The 15247-nt window shown below is 50.9% G+C and overlaps 1 protein-coding gene across 1 annotated transcript in view, besides 2 other annotated features; it reads right to left on the bottom strand.

Moving 5' to 3' along the window:
• KCNG2 (potassium voltage-gated channel modifier subfamily G member 2) overlaps positions 1–15247 on the bottom strand; it is a 102163-nt gene that overhangs the window by 65371 nt on the left and 21545 nt on the right. The window lies entirely within an intron of this gene.
• Positions 7556–8755: an enhancer, noted in NCBI's record as "BRD4-independent group 4 enhancer chr18:77585975-77587174 (GRCh37/hg19 assembly coordinates)". NCBI's record gives its function as "activates an origin of replication core promoter dependent on BRD2, P300/CBP, MED14 and CDK7 cofactors, and independent of BRD4, by STARR-seq in HCT116 cells {active_cell/tissue: HCT116}" and the evidence as "EXISTENCE:reporter gene assay evidence [ECO:0000049][PMID:35650434]".
• Positions 14693–14832: an enhancer, noted in NCBI's record as "active region_13545". NCBI's record gives its function as "activates an Ori minimal core promoter by ATAC-STARR-seq in GM12878 lymphoblastoid cells {active_cell/tissue: GM12878}" and the evidence as "EXISTENCE:reporter gene assay evidence [ECO:0000049][PMID:35858748]".

Here is a 15247-nt window from a genome sequence, read left to right as displayed (position 1 = left end):
GAGGCAGGGCTTGCATGTCTGCTAGACTTGCTGGCTTCTTGCTTCTAGCACTCCCATTATCTCAAGCAGCCATAGGTCTCTCATTCACTTGATACACTGGTTTCCTTTTAAACCCCACATCCCCACCAGCTGTTTGTTTGTTTGTTTGAGTACCATTAAATAGCGTGGGCTCCCAGAGCTCGGTGGACCCCGGTCCCACTTTCTCTCTCAAACTGTCTTTTTCTCATTCCTTTGACTCTGCCGGACTTTGTCGCCCATGACCTGGTGTTGGGTCTGATCACCCCAACAAAGTGTGGGTGAGACCTGAGGCCTTGTACCGGAAATGATGGATGGGTGTGTGTCAGAAGCATGTGGCCAGCACAAAAGATGTCCTCCCAGAAACTGAGAGTCTAAAACCATAATGGCTGCAACCTATTGTAAAACATGAGTCAATAACAAAAGAAAGAAAACCCCCATTTGCCACGTCGGAGGACAGGACGTTTGCTCAGTGCTGGTGCCGCCGAGGCAAACGGGTCTTTATCAGGGTTCTGCAGCCTGATCTTTGGTCCAAGCCGCTCTGACGCTGGCTGGGGCTCTTGCTGCAGGTCACCAGCTCACCTTCACTGATACCGACCTCGACACGCTTTAACGTGAAGGGGTTTTAAAGGTAAACCACGGGAAGCACCGCCCTCTGCCACTGCACTGGGTGGCCTCCTCAGCCCACCGTCCCCTGGCCAGAGAGGCACTGCCCTGCACGTTACTGGCCTGGGCTGCCCTGTCTCAGGAGCTGTGCTGCCCAGAGCATCTGTGGCCAGATGTGCACAACTCTGACCCTCTAGCAAGGATCGCCACCCTTGGCCTTTCTCTTCCCGGCGCACTCAGCAGAACTGGCTCAGAGCAGAGTTTGGCCACACTTTGCCACAAAAGCCCAGGCTGCAGCTTGAACACACACAAACTCGCTGTTGCAACACTTCCCATCACAGCAGCCAGCCAGATGCTGCCACACTGGGCACCACCTAATTACTGATGTTCATTTGTTCATTATCCATGCATTTATACCACATATTTGGACTTAGCCTTGTTTATCCGTGGAAATGACGTTGCAGCAAAGGTTTGTTCTTTGAAACTGTCATAGCCAAAGAGATTTGGGCTTTGTTCTATAAACTTGCAGGTTTTGTTCTATGAACTTATACTTTCTGATTTCTTACTTCTCAGACATGATGCTAACAACATGCAATTGAAAGAAAAACAATTAAAATCACAACTAAAATTACCAACAACTATAACAGTCAAATCAAACTGCAGTAAGAGGCAGGGTACAGTGGCTCATGCCCATAATCCCAGCACGTTGGGACGCTGAGGCAGGCATATCACTTGAGCCCAGGAGTTTGAGACCAGCCAGGGCAACATAGTGAGATTTTTGTCTCTACAAAAAAATAAACAAGAAATTAGCCAGGTGTGGTAGCACACACCTGTAGTCCCAGCTATTTTGGAGGCTGAGATGGGGGGATTGCTTGATCCCAGGAGGTCAAGGCTGTAGTAAGCCAAGATCGCACCACTGCACCCCAGCCTGGGTTACAGAGTGAGACACCATCTCAAAAAAACAAAAAAAACCCTGTAGCAAGAGAGATTTAGGTTAGATGGTAAGACATTCTTAATTATAGAGCTTGAGGAACACTGAAGTAATAAGAAAAAATTATACAAATTTCAAAAAAAGTTATAAAATATCCTTCATTGCCAATTTTAAAGGAAACCAGGCTACTTTCCTTGGAGACTGGGTGCAGCCCAGGCTCATAGCAGGGGAGCAGACAGCAAGGACGTCCCAGCCGTTTATACTCCAAGGCTCACCGTGATCTACCTTAAGGTGCCAGGGGCTTAAGGAGCAGACGCAGGAGCCCTCCCAGAGGAGCCACAGGAGAGATTGTATCTACTTCTGAGAACACGTTGAAGCATGTAACACTCTTCTAAGGCTGCTTAGCACTGTGCAAAGAGGAGTCTTGCCATACAGGCTGGAAAAGTCTGTGGCCCGAGGGTCCTGAGAGCAGGATCTGGCTGTGGCCTGGGCAGTCCCAGGTCTCCTCTGGAAATCAGGGCGAATGATCTGCACGGCTCTCCCAGTTCCAAGGTTTCATGAATACCAGAAAAGAGTGGAGAAGAAGGGAGGAGTGGGGTTTCAAAAAACAGCAAGAGAGTGGGGAGAAGATAGAGGAGGGAAGTAGAAGAGAAGGTTGAAAAGGAAGAGGCCTGGGCAGGTGAGGAAGGGCAGGTGAGGATGGGCAGGTGAAGACGGACAGGTGAGGATGAGCAGGTAAGGATGGACAGGTGAGAGCAGGTGAGGATGGACAGATGAGAGCAGGTGAGGATGGGCAGGTGAGTGCAGGTGAGGATGGACAGGTGAGGAAGGGCAGGTAAGGATGGGCAGGTGAGGACGGGCAGCTGAGGAAGGACAGTGAGGATGGGCAGGTGAGGGCAGGTGAAGAAGGGCAGGTGAGGTCTCACGGGTGAGGATGAGCAGGTGAGGAAGGAGGGGTGAGGAAGGGCAGGTGAGGAAGGAGGGGTGAGAAAGGGCAGGTGAGGATGGGCAGCTGAGGTCTCATGGGTGAGGACGGGCAAGCTATGAGCAGCGGATAGATGTACCTCGGAGTAGGCTCAGAACCAGGGGGCGGTGGGTGAGTGTGGGGAAGCCACAGACACCTGCTCTGCCCGGGGGTGCCTAGCTATGGAGAAACTTCTGGTGGGCATCCACCCAGCCCTTTCTAGACATTTGCTCTGACGGCTGCTCCTTGCATTCCAACTCCCAGGTGGAGGTCACAGCGAAGGAGAAGAGCCCAAGCTGGGATGTGAGTGCTGCTCCAAATCAGGGTTCTACAAAGCACCCAGGAGACAACCACCTAGGCCGCCCGCCAGGTAAGGGTGGGGGTGGGAGGACGGCACATCCTGAAGGAGGCTCTCCTCCTAACAAAGGCTCTGTATGAAGGGAACGCTCCTGACAAAGGCTCTGTCCGCAGGGAACCCTCCTGATGAAGGCTCTGTCCGCAGGGAACCCTCCTGACGAAGGCTCTGTCCGCAGGGAACCCTCCTGACGAAGGCTCTGTCCGCAGGGCACGCTCCTGACGAAGGCTCTGTACGCAGGGCACGCTCCTGACGAAGGCTCTGTACGCAGGGCACGCTCCTGACGAAGGCTCTGTACGCAGGGCACGCTCCTGACGAAGGCTCTGTCCGCAGGGAACCCTCCTGACGAAGGCTCTGTCCGCAGGGAACCCTCCTGACGAAGGCTCTGTCCGCAGGGAACCCTCCTGACGAAGGCTCTGTCCGCAGGGAACCCTCCTGACGAAGGCTCTGTCCGCAGGGAACCCTCCTGACGAAGGCTCTGTCCGCAGGGAACCCTCCTGACGAAGGCTCTGTCCGCAGGGAACCCTCCTGACGAAGGCTCTGTCCGCAGGGAACCCTCCTGACGAAGGCTCTGTCCGCAGGGAACCCTCCTGACGAAGGCTCTGTCCGCAGGGAACCCTCCTGACGAAGGCTCTGTCCGCAGGGAACCCTCCTGACGAAGGCTCTGTCCGCAGGGAACCCTCCTGACGAAGGCTCTGTCCGCAGGGAACCCTCCTGACGAAGGCTCTGTCCGCAGGGAACCCTCCTGACGAAGGCTCTGTCCGCAGGGAACCCTCCTGACGAAGGCTCTGTCCGCAGGGAACCCTCCTGACGAAGGCTCTGTCCGCAGGGAACCCTCCTGACGAAGGCTCTGTCCGCAGGGAACCCTCCTGACGAAGGCTCTGTCCGCAGGGAACCCTCCTGACGAAGGCTCTGTCCGCAGGGAACCCTCCTGACGAAGGCTCTGTCCGCAGGGAACCCTCCTGACGAAGGCTCTGTATGCAGGGAACCCTCCTGACGAAGGCTCTGTCCGCAGAGAACGCTCCTGACGAAGGCTCTGTATGCAGGGAACCCTCCTGACGAAGGCTCTGTCCGCAGGGAACCCTCCTGACGAAGGCTCTGTCCGCAGGGAACCCTCCTGACGAAGGCTCTGTCTGCAGGGAACCCTCCTGACGAAGGCTCTGTCTGCAGGGAACCCTCCTGACAAAGGCTCTGTCCGCAGGGAATGCTTGGGGGTCTCATCACTCGGGAGTCTCTTCGAGGCATCTCTCTCGCTGGCCTCTGGAGCTGGGGCGGTTCTGGAGGGACCCATGGCCAAAGGCCCTTCCTTTGCTTCTTTCCCCACATTCCATCACCCTTCCTACTTTGAACACCACCTGCCGTTTATGTAAGCTGAGGAATAAATGTTTTTGCAGGTATCTGTGTTTTGAGGTATTTTAAGTGTGACAGTTAAATTGGAAAAGATGATGTCCCAGTGAGCTCTGGCTGGAGGCCTCCCTTGCAGACATGTTTCCTGCCACCGGGCTGTCTGGTGTGGGGCTCGTCACAGGCGCCCCTTTCAAATGGTGCCATCCTGTAAGAACCCTGCCAGCACTTCTCAAACCCCTGAAACAACACGTCACGTTCTGCTTTCAGGGGAGGTGTGTTGACCTGGGATGGACCATGAACCCTTAGCAGATGGACACGATTCGTCTTCTCACAACAGGTCCACAACCACACACCTGGGTTCCACTGGGCTCCGTGGACCTGCAGAATCTACTCGTGGCCACGTGGACCCACCAGTCCTAGGTTAAGAACTCCTACTTCAGGGGGAACACTTTCTATTTATTCCCATGACCAATTTAATCATAGCGTGATGGTTTGTGCCTTTTTCTCAGACAGCATCCCCACTCTCCTCCACAAAAGCACAGAATCTCCAAGTGCAAGGCTTTGACAAGACAAATGAAAACATAATAGCTTCGCAGAATTGGTACCTTTTTCTTATCTCCTCTCTGCCTTTTCCTAACAAGTTAGACAGATGGGAGTATCACACCCTGAAATGTAAGAACGATGACCTGGAGGCTCAGACACAAGGCCCCTGTCTTAAGGCCAACCAGGCTGCCCTGGGTGTGAGCTGCCCCGGCACCAGCTTTCCACACAGGCCCTGAGCCCAAGTGGAGCCCCCAAACAGCCAGTACAGTGTAGAGATGGCGGCAGAGGCCCACCGGACACAGGGAAGCAGAGGCTGACCGGTGTGAGGCAGAGTCCGACCAGCTGTAGAGAGGCAGAGAAGGACCGGTGTGAGGCAGAGACTGACCAGCCATAGGGAGGCAGAGACGGACCGATGTGAGGCAGAGACCCACCGGCCGTAGGGAGGCAGAGACGGACTGGTGTGAGGCAAAGACCCACAAGCCATAGGGAGGCAGAGGCTGACCAGCTACTTGACTCACTTCAAGTAAAAAACAATCACCTGAGAAACACGGGCCATGAATGATGCAACAGAGAAGGGGCAGGTACTTGGTCACCAGGGAGTGACACGTGCAGATACACACACAGACACACAAGACACACACAGACACATGTACACACAGACACACACACAGATACATGCAGACACACACACAGACACATGCACACACAGACACACACGCAGACACATTACACACAGACACGTTACACACACATGCACACATAGACACCCACACACAGACACATGCACACATCATGGACATGTTACACACACGCACACATAGACACCCACACACAGACACATGCACACATCATGGACATGTTACACACACGCACACATAGACACCCACACACAGACACATGCACACACAGACACGTTACACACACGCACACATAGACACCCACACACAGACACATGCACACATCATGGACATGTTACACACACGCACACATAGACACCCACATACAGACACATGCACACACAGACACGTTACACACACGCACACATAGACACACACAGACACATGCACACATCATGGACATGTTACATACACGCACACATAGACACCCACACACAGACACATGCACACATCATGGACATGTTACACACACGCACACATAGACACCCACACACAGACACATGCACACACAGACACGTTACACACACGCACACATAGACACCCACACACAGACACATGCACACATCATGGACATGTTACACACACGCAAATTCCTGTAGACGGACACACGCACACATAGACATGCACACACAGGCACACACAGACATACACACAGACACATGAACACATCATAGACACGTTACACACATCCACACACCCACATGCAGACACATGCACACAGACATGCACACAGATAGACACACAGATGCACACACAGACATGCATAAACACGTTACACTACACAGACTCATGTAGACACATATGCACACATTCATGCACACACAGACACACATTTGCACACACACCACACACTTGCACACAGATGCACCCAAACATGCACACACTGATACATGCAGACACATGCACACTAAGACACACACACACCTGCACACACAGACTCATGCACACACTGACACAGGCAGACATGCAATGACGCAGTGTGCACACATATGCACATGCACACGCACGCATGTCATGTCTTTAAGTATTCCTACATGTCTGTATGTCTAAGAGTTTTAAGAATATTATGTTGGGTGCAGTGGCTCATGCCTGTAATCCCAGTACTTTGGGAGGCCGAGGTGGGCGGATCACCTGGGGTCAGGAGTTCAAGACCAGACTGGCCAACATGGTGAAACACCATCTCTACAAAAGATACAAAGAATTAGCCGGGTGTGTTGGTGCGTGCCTGTAATCCGAGCTACTTGGGAGGCTGAGGCACAAGAATCACTTGAACCAGGGAGGCAGAGGTTGCAGTGAGCCTTGACAACGCCACTGCACTCCAGCCTGGGCAACAGAGGGAGACTACATCTCAAAAAAAAAAAAAAGAAAGAAAGAAAGAAAAAAGAATATTATGTTCCAGTATAATTCTAACTGCTAATTCTGTTTAAACATATAGGTAAAAGGATTATAATTGGTACATTGTTAAAACTGTTTTTGTCTCTGAAGTAGTTACTTGCATCAGTATTTTTCCTATGGAGCCACATGGAGAGACTTGGGTCCAGCCCACCAAGCTGCATTTCCAGAGCTGCGGCACTGGGTGGGCGGGTAATAAGCGGGGTTCCAGGGCCTGCATTCAGAAGAAGCGAAATCCAGGGGGGAGGCTGAGTCCCCGCTCTTCTCCCCGCGCTTCCCGCTCCATCCTGAGCCCCTCCTCTGCTGGCCTCTCAGACACTGGGACTCCAGGGCCTCTGCCACACCCTCCTTCCTCCAGGAACACAGGCTGCTGGAGGTCCTAAAAATTCCCAGCACCACAAGTTTGAGAGCCGCTGTGCTAAACTACCAGTCCCCAGGCCCTGCCCCACTGGTGGGGCCGAAACCCTGGCTGGGGCCAGATGACCTCTCCTACCTAAGATAGCATCTCACCTGGAACTCTGACCAAGGAACAGAACTCTTTAGAGGCACGATGCTGACACCGCCAGGGAAAACGAAAGGAGGCTTAGTTTGAAACCCTCACGGTTTCCTGCAGGGATCCCACCCACATCTCCTGCCCTGGGGGCTCCGGGGTGGACACAGGACCACTGAGGCCTGGAGGGTGTCGCTGGTCTGGCCCGAGCCCCAGCTCCATGACCATGTGGGGGCGCACCTGCTAAGCTTCAGTATCTGGGAGTCCCCAGCCTGTCCCCAGGGAGGCCTGAGGCTGTCACCACCCCATAGAGGAGCAACAGAGGCTGGCGCGGCCCGGCCCCTGCATCGCCGGGGACGCCACGTCCTCACAAGGCACCAAGCAGCAAAGCTCAGCGTCCTGAACAGAAAGCGGGCAGAAGCCAAGGCGAATTTCCTAGAAACTGTAATTAAACTTTTACATTTTAATAATTATAATTTTTAGTTGGTAATTTCTTTTTCAATCAATTTTATCAAACAAGTGATTAGTCACTCCCACACCTTCTTTCACTGAACGTAATGACGTAACGCGCCGAACTAACCTTCCGTGAGGAGCTGCTCACTCAGTTCTTTCACTGAACGTAATGACGTAACGCGCCGAACTAACCTTCCGTGAGGAGCTGCTCACTCAGTTCTTTCACTGGATGTAATGACGTAACGCGCCGAACTAACCTTCCGTGAGGAGCTGCTCACTCAGTTCTTTCACTGGATGTAATGACGTAACGCGCCGAATGTAATCTTCCGTGAGGAGCTGCTCACTCAGTTTTCACTGAACGTAATGACGTAACGCGCCGAACTTAACCTTCCGTGAGGAGCTGCTCACTCAGTTCTTTCACTGAACGTAATGACGTAACGCGCCGAATCTAACCTTCCGTGAGGAGCTGCTCACTCAGTTCTTTCACTGAACGTAATGACGTAACGCGCCGAATCTAACCTTCCGTGAGGAGCTGCTCGCTCAGTTGTGAAGCTTCGTGCGGTGGGCAGCTGGGCAGGCCTGGGAAGGGAGCAGAACGGGCGCCGTACCTGAAGCGCCTGGAGCCTGGCTCTGGAGGGGCCTCCACACACCTGCTTTCCCTGCAGCTCTGCCTGCCTCAGAAGGGAGCAGGACCCACCTTCCCAGAGCCAGGCCCTCGGTCCCCGTCTGAAGCGACCCTTCTCCCACGGAGGCCTCGCGCCTCAGATCACAGTTTCAGCTCGACTACCCGGGTTCCTGGCCTTGCCAACGGCCACAGAGCTCCCGGCCCTTCCTGTCGCCCACAGTGTGTCAGCGCCCGCTTCCTCCAAGGTCAGGGCGGCCGGCAGGGCACAGGCCCCGACGCCGAGAGCTTCCTCTTAAGCTGCAGCCTCCACCCAGGCCCACGTCTCTATGGGGGTCATGCCCTGGACACAGCGTTTCAAAGAAAGGGCAGGTCCCAGAGCGGCCGAGAGGGCGACAGGTGTCCGCGCTCCCACCTGCCGTCCATGGGCAGACGCATAAAGAAACTTCCGGAAGGAAGGCCACAGACAGGCTGACAGTGCACGGTCAGGTCAGGTGATTTTTACTTTCTTTTTTCTGTCCTTCTGTATTTTCCCCCAGACGATACAGGTAATTTTAGTAACTGGAAAAAGGAATAAAAACGATTCTAATTTTAGAGGGAAAATCACATCTGACGGGTTTTTACAGAAAGAAACTGAAGCCCTATGAAATGACAGCGTGATTGATCTACCTTCGTATTAATCCTTATTGACACTTCATCTCCTGAAGCTTGCGCCCCGTCAGTCAAGTTGATGTTCACCGACAGGGACTTGGTAAAACCTCCGTGGTTTCTGAGACTCCTCGCTGAGGGGAGCTTCTGTAACTCTCAGGCGTTAAAGCTATTTTTTATGAAGAGGCATTTCGTCAGCAAACAGCAGAAAAGGACAGGAAAGATATTTTTATGGACCCAGACATCAGCGCATTCTTCGTAAACTGACGGTAAACACGAGTCTGTGATGTGCTGCTTTGAAAACAAGGCTTATAGCTGTAGGATGACTTAGGGATATTTTCCCATTCTTCAAGTGTCTTCCTTTTTCTTTTTTAAAGCCACATTATTATATTCAAGAAATGTAACGTTTGAAACAGACTGAACAATCAGAGGAGACACTGTGCAGTCCTCTTTGCAAACACATTTGAAAACCCAGAGGAAGTGCAGATGTTCTCGGGAAACAGAGACACCAAAAACTGTCCCAGGAGAGTTAGAAACTTCAGCAGACCCATTTCCATTGAAGAAACAGAAAGTTACTACTGACTGTCCTATCAAAGCACTAAGCCCCGACAGGTTTACAGAGAATTCTCCCAAGATTATAAAGCCTAGATAGTCTCCATGCTCTACAAATTATTTCAGAACATTGAGAAGGAAGGAAAGCTCTCTAGTTCATTTTATGAAGTAAGCAAACACTGATATTTAAACCAAATATAATAAGAAGAAAGAAAACTTAAGTTCAATATCACTCATCAATACCAATGCAGAAATTCTAAACGGAATATTATTAAACAGAATTCAATGCCTCTTAAGAAAAAAAAATACTGCGACAAAGTAGAATTTGTTCCAGAAGGTGCAAAGTAGGTTCAGTGGTAGGAAATCCATTAACATCATGCACCATAATAATAAATTTAGGTAGAAAAGTCATGTAATCATCTCCATAGATACCAAGCAGCCTTTGATGAATACTCAGGGCGTTGATGGGTATTTCACCAGCACCGGCAGCCTGTGTTAAGTTCTAAAGCCGCTCTCTTAATGGAGAAACACTAGAGGCATTTCCATGGCAATCAGAAACAAGGATACCCACTACCTCTGATATATTTAACATTATACGAGAGGTATTAATGAATAAAACTAGACAGCAAAAATCAATCAGAAGCATAGAGCAGGTAAAGAAGGGGTGAAACCGTCTCTCTTTGCAGATAGGATCATCTTATACTTGGAAATCCCAGAGAATCAATGACAAAACTTATTTATTGAATAAAAAAATTCAGAAAAGTAGCAGGCTATAAAATCAACAGCCTTCCTATACACAAACAACAAAGAACACAATCATTGGAAAAGTCCATTTATGGCCAAGCACCGAGGCTCACGCCTGTAATCCCACACTTTGGGAGGCCAAGGTCGGGGGATCGCTTGAGTCCAGGAGTTCAAGATCAGTTTGGGCAAAATGGCGAAACCCTGTCTCTACAAAAAATACAAGTTACCCACATGTGGTGATGCCTGTAGTCCCAGCTACTTGGGAGGCTGAGAGGTGGGAGGATCATCTGAGCCTGGGGGGCGGAGGCTGCAGTGAGCCAAGATCGTGCCACTGCACTCCAGCCTGGGTGACAGAGTGAGATCTTGTCTCAAAAATTAAATTAAATTGATGAAAGAAAAAGTCCATTTACAGTAGGAAAAAAACATGTAGGAACAAATTTCACAAGGAATGTGTACTGTTTTTACAAGAACAAATTTAAAACACGAAAGTAAACATGAACAAATGGAAAGCGAGCCATGCTCCTGGACAGGAGACTTGGCGCTGTGGAGGTGGCTTCCTCTTGGTGTTAGCTCATCAGTTCCACTCAATCCCAGTAAAACAGGGTAAGCTATTTTATGGAGTTGGACATGTCGATACTAAGGTTCAAATGTGCATAAAGAGCTGGGCACACGTGGAAAAAGAAAAACAACAAGGGGAAAAACTCATATAGCATGAACTCTTAAACATCAGGGGGTGAAGGACCAAAAACCCCATCGAGAAATGGGGAAACACATGAACAGGCCATTCACAAAAGATAAAAATGACTCTCACACGTATGGAAAACATGTTCAAGCACACTCGTAATCAGAGAAGTGCAGATTAAAACAATACTGAGATACCATTTCTCACCCATGAGACTGGCAAAAATTTAAAAATCCTACCACAACCCCTGGCCTGGCTGTGAGCAAACAGCGCTCGACACGGGGCACAGCTCTCAGGAGGGAGGAATGTGGCAACATCCGGCTGGCTAATGACCTCTGTGCAACCCCAATTCTGGGAGTCAACCCTGCAGAGATGAAAAGGTCCACATGTGGTGTTCACAGCAGCACAGGTGGAGATGGCAAAACCCTGGAAACAGCCCAGTGCCCGCACAGAGCAAGGTCGCTGAGTAAACGCGGGTGTCTACACGGTGGGGCACGTGCCGGAAGGAGGAAGGTCTGTAAGGCCTGCCACGAGATGACTTCCAGGACATTAAGTGAGAAGGCAAAGTGAGAAGAAAGGCAGAGATTTGCCACCCATGGTGTAAGACAGGGGCCAGCTGAAATGCACAGGTGCCTGCCTGGCTGTGCAGGAGGAACAGAGGAGGATGAACAGAAACTAAGGCTGTCTCCCCATGGAGGGAGGTGGGAAGGGCCTTCCAGAGGCAGTGACTCCTAAAGCCTTGGGGTGCTCCACACGCTCTTCACATGCCACAAGTGAGCCACACCCACACGCAACACCAACGCCCACGATAAGCCCAGGTGCCTCACAAGGAATCCACAACCCCACGGAAGCGTGGGGAGACAAGGGCTCTCCCAGGTAATTGTGGAAAATGTGTTTCCATGAAATCCGGAGGCTAAAGACTAGAAGAGCCACACGCAGCAGGCTCCAGTCTCTCGGGGTGAGCACAGCACACGTTTGAAGGCCCAGCACGGTGCTCACACCTGTGATCTCAGCACTTTGGAGGCCGGGGTGGGTGGATCCCTTGAGGTCAGGAGTTCAAGACCTGCCGGGGCAACACAGCGAGACCCCCATCTCTACAAAAATTAGCCAGGCATGGTGGCTCACGCCTGTGGCCCCAGCTACTCGGGAGGCTGACGTGGGAGGATGCTTGAGCCCTGGAGGCTGAGGCTGCAGGGAGCCATGACTGCAACACTACACTCCAGCCTGGGGGACAGAGTGAGACCCTGTCTCAAAAAAATAATAACTTTAAAAAGTATCAATATTGTGAAAAACAAAAACGAAAAACAAACTGGAGAGCTATTACAGACGGATGATGGGAACGATGGTGAGGGGCCCTGGACAGAACCGTGGCTCTAGTATGAAGAACGCGGTGACATCTGAGTGGGGTTTTAAAGTAGTGACCAGGGCGGGGCCAGTGGGAATCCCTGGTCTGGACCATTCTGCCAACACTGGAGGAAGCTGGGTGGGAGACATGGGAACCTCTATGAATCTGCAACTTTCCTATAAGTCTAAAAATCGTTCAAATAAAAAGCTTTTAAAAATCTAACATTTCCTGCTTAAACCCCAGGACAATGGTACAAAAGGCACCTTGAGTCTGAATTTGACAAGTTTTACTGAAGCCTTCACATCCCAGCCCCAAATATCAGTGCTGGGATTTCCTCACAACAAACCCATCTGGCACATTCACTCAGCCCACTTCTAGAATGGCCTACAAAAAACAGTGCTTTTTTGCAGAAATGAAAAAGCCCGTCCTAAAATTCATATGGAGTCTTAACGGACCACGAATAGTCAATACAATTTTGAAAAAGAAGGGCAATGATAGAGGCCTCACACTTCCAATCTCAAAGGTGCTGCCAAGCTATGGCGATCAAGATGCATGGCCTGGCCTGTGGACAGACAGGGCAGTTGAGGGCGGAGCAGGACGCCCAGAGATGAGCCCTACACCTATGATCAAGTGATTTTGGGAAAAGAGTGCCAGGACCATTTAATTCAGGAAGGAGGCCCTTCCTAGTAAATGGCACCAGGAAGATGGGGATGTGCTCACACAAAAGGGTGCAGCTGAGCCCTACCCCACCCCATATACACAATTCAAGTAAAAGGCCAGGCGTGGTGGCTCACGCCTGTAATCCCAGCACTTTGGGAGGCCGAGGCGGGTGGACAACCTGAGGTCAGGAGTTTGAGACCAGCCTGGCCAACATGGTGAAACCCCGTCTCTACTAAAAATACATAAATTAGCTGGGTGTGGTGGTGGGTGCCTGTAATCCCAGCTACTTGGGAGGCTGAGGCAGGAGAATCATTTGAACCTGGGAGGCAGATGTTGCCGTGAGCCAAGATTGCGCCACTGTGCTCCAGCCTGGGTGACAAGAGCCAGGCTCTGTCAAAAAAAAAAAAAAAAAAAAAATTCAAGTAAAAATGGGTTGACGGCCAAAATTTACAGATAAAACTATAAAACTCTTAGAATAAAACATGTGGTCAAATCTTCATGATGTTGGATTTGGCAATGGTTGCTTAAATGACATCAAAAGCACAGGCAACAAAATAAAAATAGATCAACTGAGCTTCATTCAAATTAAAAACTTCTGTGCATCCGAGGACACTATCAACAAAATGAAAGCCCACAGACTGGGGGAAAATATTTGCAAATCACATATCTGATAAGGGCTTAATATCAAGAACATATAATGAGTTTCTCTAACTCAGTAACTAAAGACAAACAACCAAATCTAAAAATGGGCAAAGGGGCTAGGCATGGTGGCTCACACCTGTAATCCCAGCACGTTGGGAGGCTGAGGTGGGAGGATCACTTGAGTCCAAGAGTTTGAGATCAGCCTGGCAACATAGCGAGACCCTCTCTCTACAAAAAATACAAAAATTAGCTGGGTGTGGTGGTGCATGCCTGGAGTCCCAGCTGCTCCAGGGGCTGAGGTGGGAGGATTGCTTGAGCCTAGGAGGTTGAGGCTGATTGCACCTCTGCACTCCAGCTTGGACAACAGAGTGAGACCCTGTCTCTAAATAAATAAGTAAATAAAATGGGCAAAGAACTTGAATAGCCTTTTTTTAAAAAATGTACATTGTACCCATTTGAACAGACTTTTCTCCAAAGAAGATGCACACATGCCCGGCAAGCAGATGAAAAGATGCTCAGCATCACTCATCATTAGGAAAATGCAGATATGAGCTATCGCTTCACATCTGCCAGGATGGCTGTAATAAGAAAGACAGACCATCCTGAGTGCTGGTGAGGATGGGAGATACTGGACCCCTCAGGATTGCCGATGGGAAAATGGCTCAGCTGCTGTGGAAGTTTGGCAGACTCTCTAAAAGTTAAGCAGCAGCATCAACATCTGGCTCAGCATTTCCCTCCTAAGAACATGCCTGGAGGAAGTGAAAACAGGAACTCAAACAGGATACATGTGCTGACATTCAGAGCCGCATCAGCCCCATTAGCCAAAAGGTGGGGAGGAAGTGAAAACAGGGACTCAAACAGAGGATACAAGCGCCGACGTTCAGAGCAGCATCAGTCCCATTAGCCAAATGATGGGGACAGCCCACGTGTCGCCAACAGAGGGTGGACGCACACAGTGTGGGGTACCCTGCACGAGGGCACTGCCCAGACACAGAATAGGAGGAGGTTCTGACACGCACCTCCTTCGGAGAAGGAAGGAGCTCCTCCTCGGAGCGCGGCTGGAGCTGGAGAGCGTTATGCTGAGTGAGAGAAGCTGGACACTGGAGGACCAGCACTGTGTGATTCACCTACATGAAATCCCTAGAATAGCGGGGTTCATAGAGAAAGCAGAGTGGACCTTACCAGGGGTTGGAGGTGGCACTATGGGGGAGTTACTGCTTAGTGGTTACAGATTTCCTGTTGAGGGCAATGGAAGAATTTGGCAAAAAGTGGTGATGCCTGCACAGCACGGCGGTTGGAATTCATGCTACTGAACTGTCCACTTGAAATAGTTAAAATGGAATACCTTAGGTGATGTGTATTTTACCCCAGTCACACCGAGGAGCCGTAGGGGAGGTGGACGGCCTCTATTGCAGCCTGCTGGCTGTGAGGCCTGGCCGGGTCCTTGGCTGAGCGCTCAGCTCACCTGTAGGGAGGACGGGGCTCACACAAACCCCGCGGCGTGAACATTGTCCATGGGTGACACCCAGGCCCAACACAGCCCGATCTGAAGGGACACTGAGTGCCAGCTGCATGCCTT

The sequence above is a fragment of the Homo sapiens genome, chromosome 18 (assembly GCF_000001405.40).
Source record: "Homo sapiens chromosome 18, GRCh38.p14 Primary Assembly".
NCBI classification, from domain to species: Eukaryota; Metazoa; Chordata; class Mammalia; order Primates; family Hominidae; genus Homo; species Homo sapiens.
Note: the sequence above shows the minus strand (reverse complement) of the source record. Positions and strands in the feature narration are given on the sequence as shown.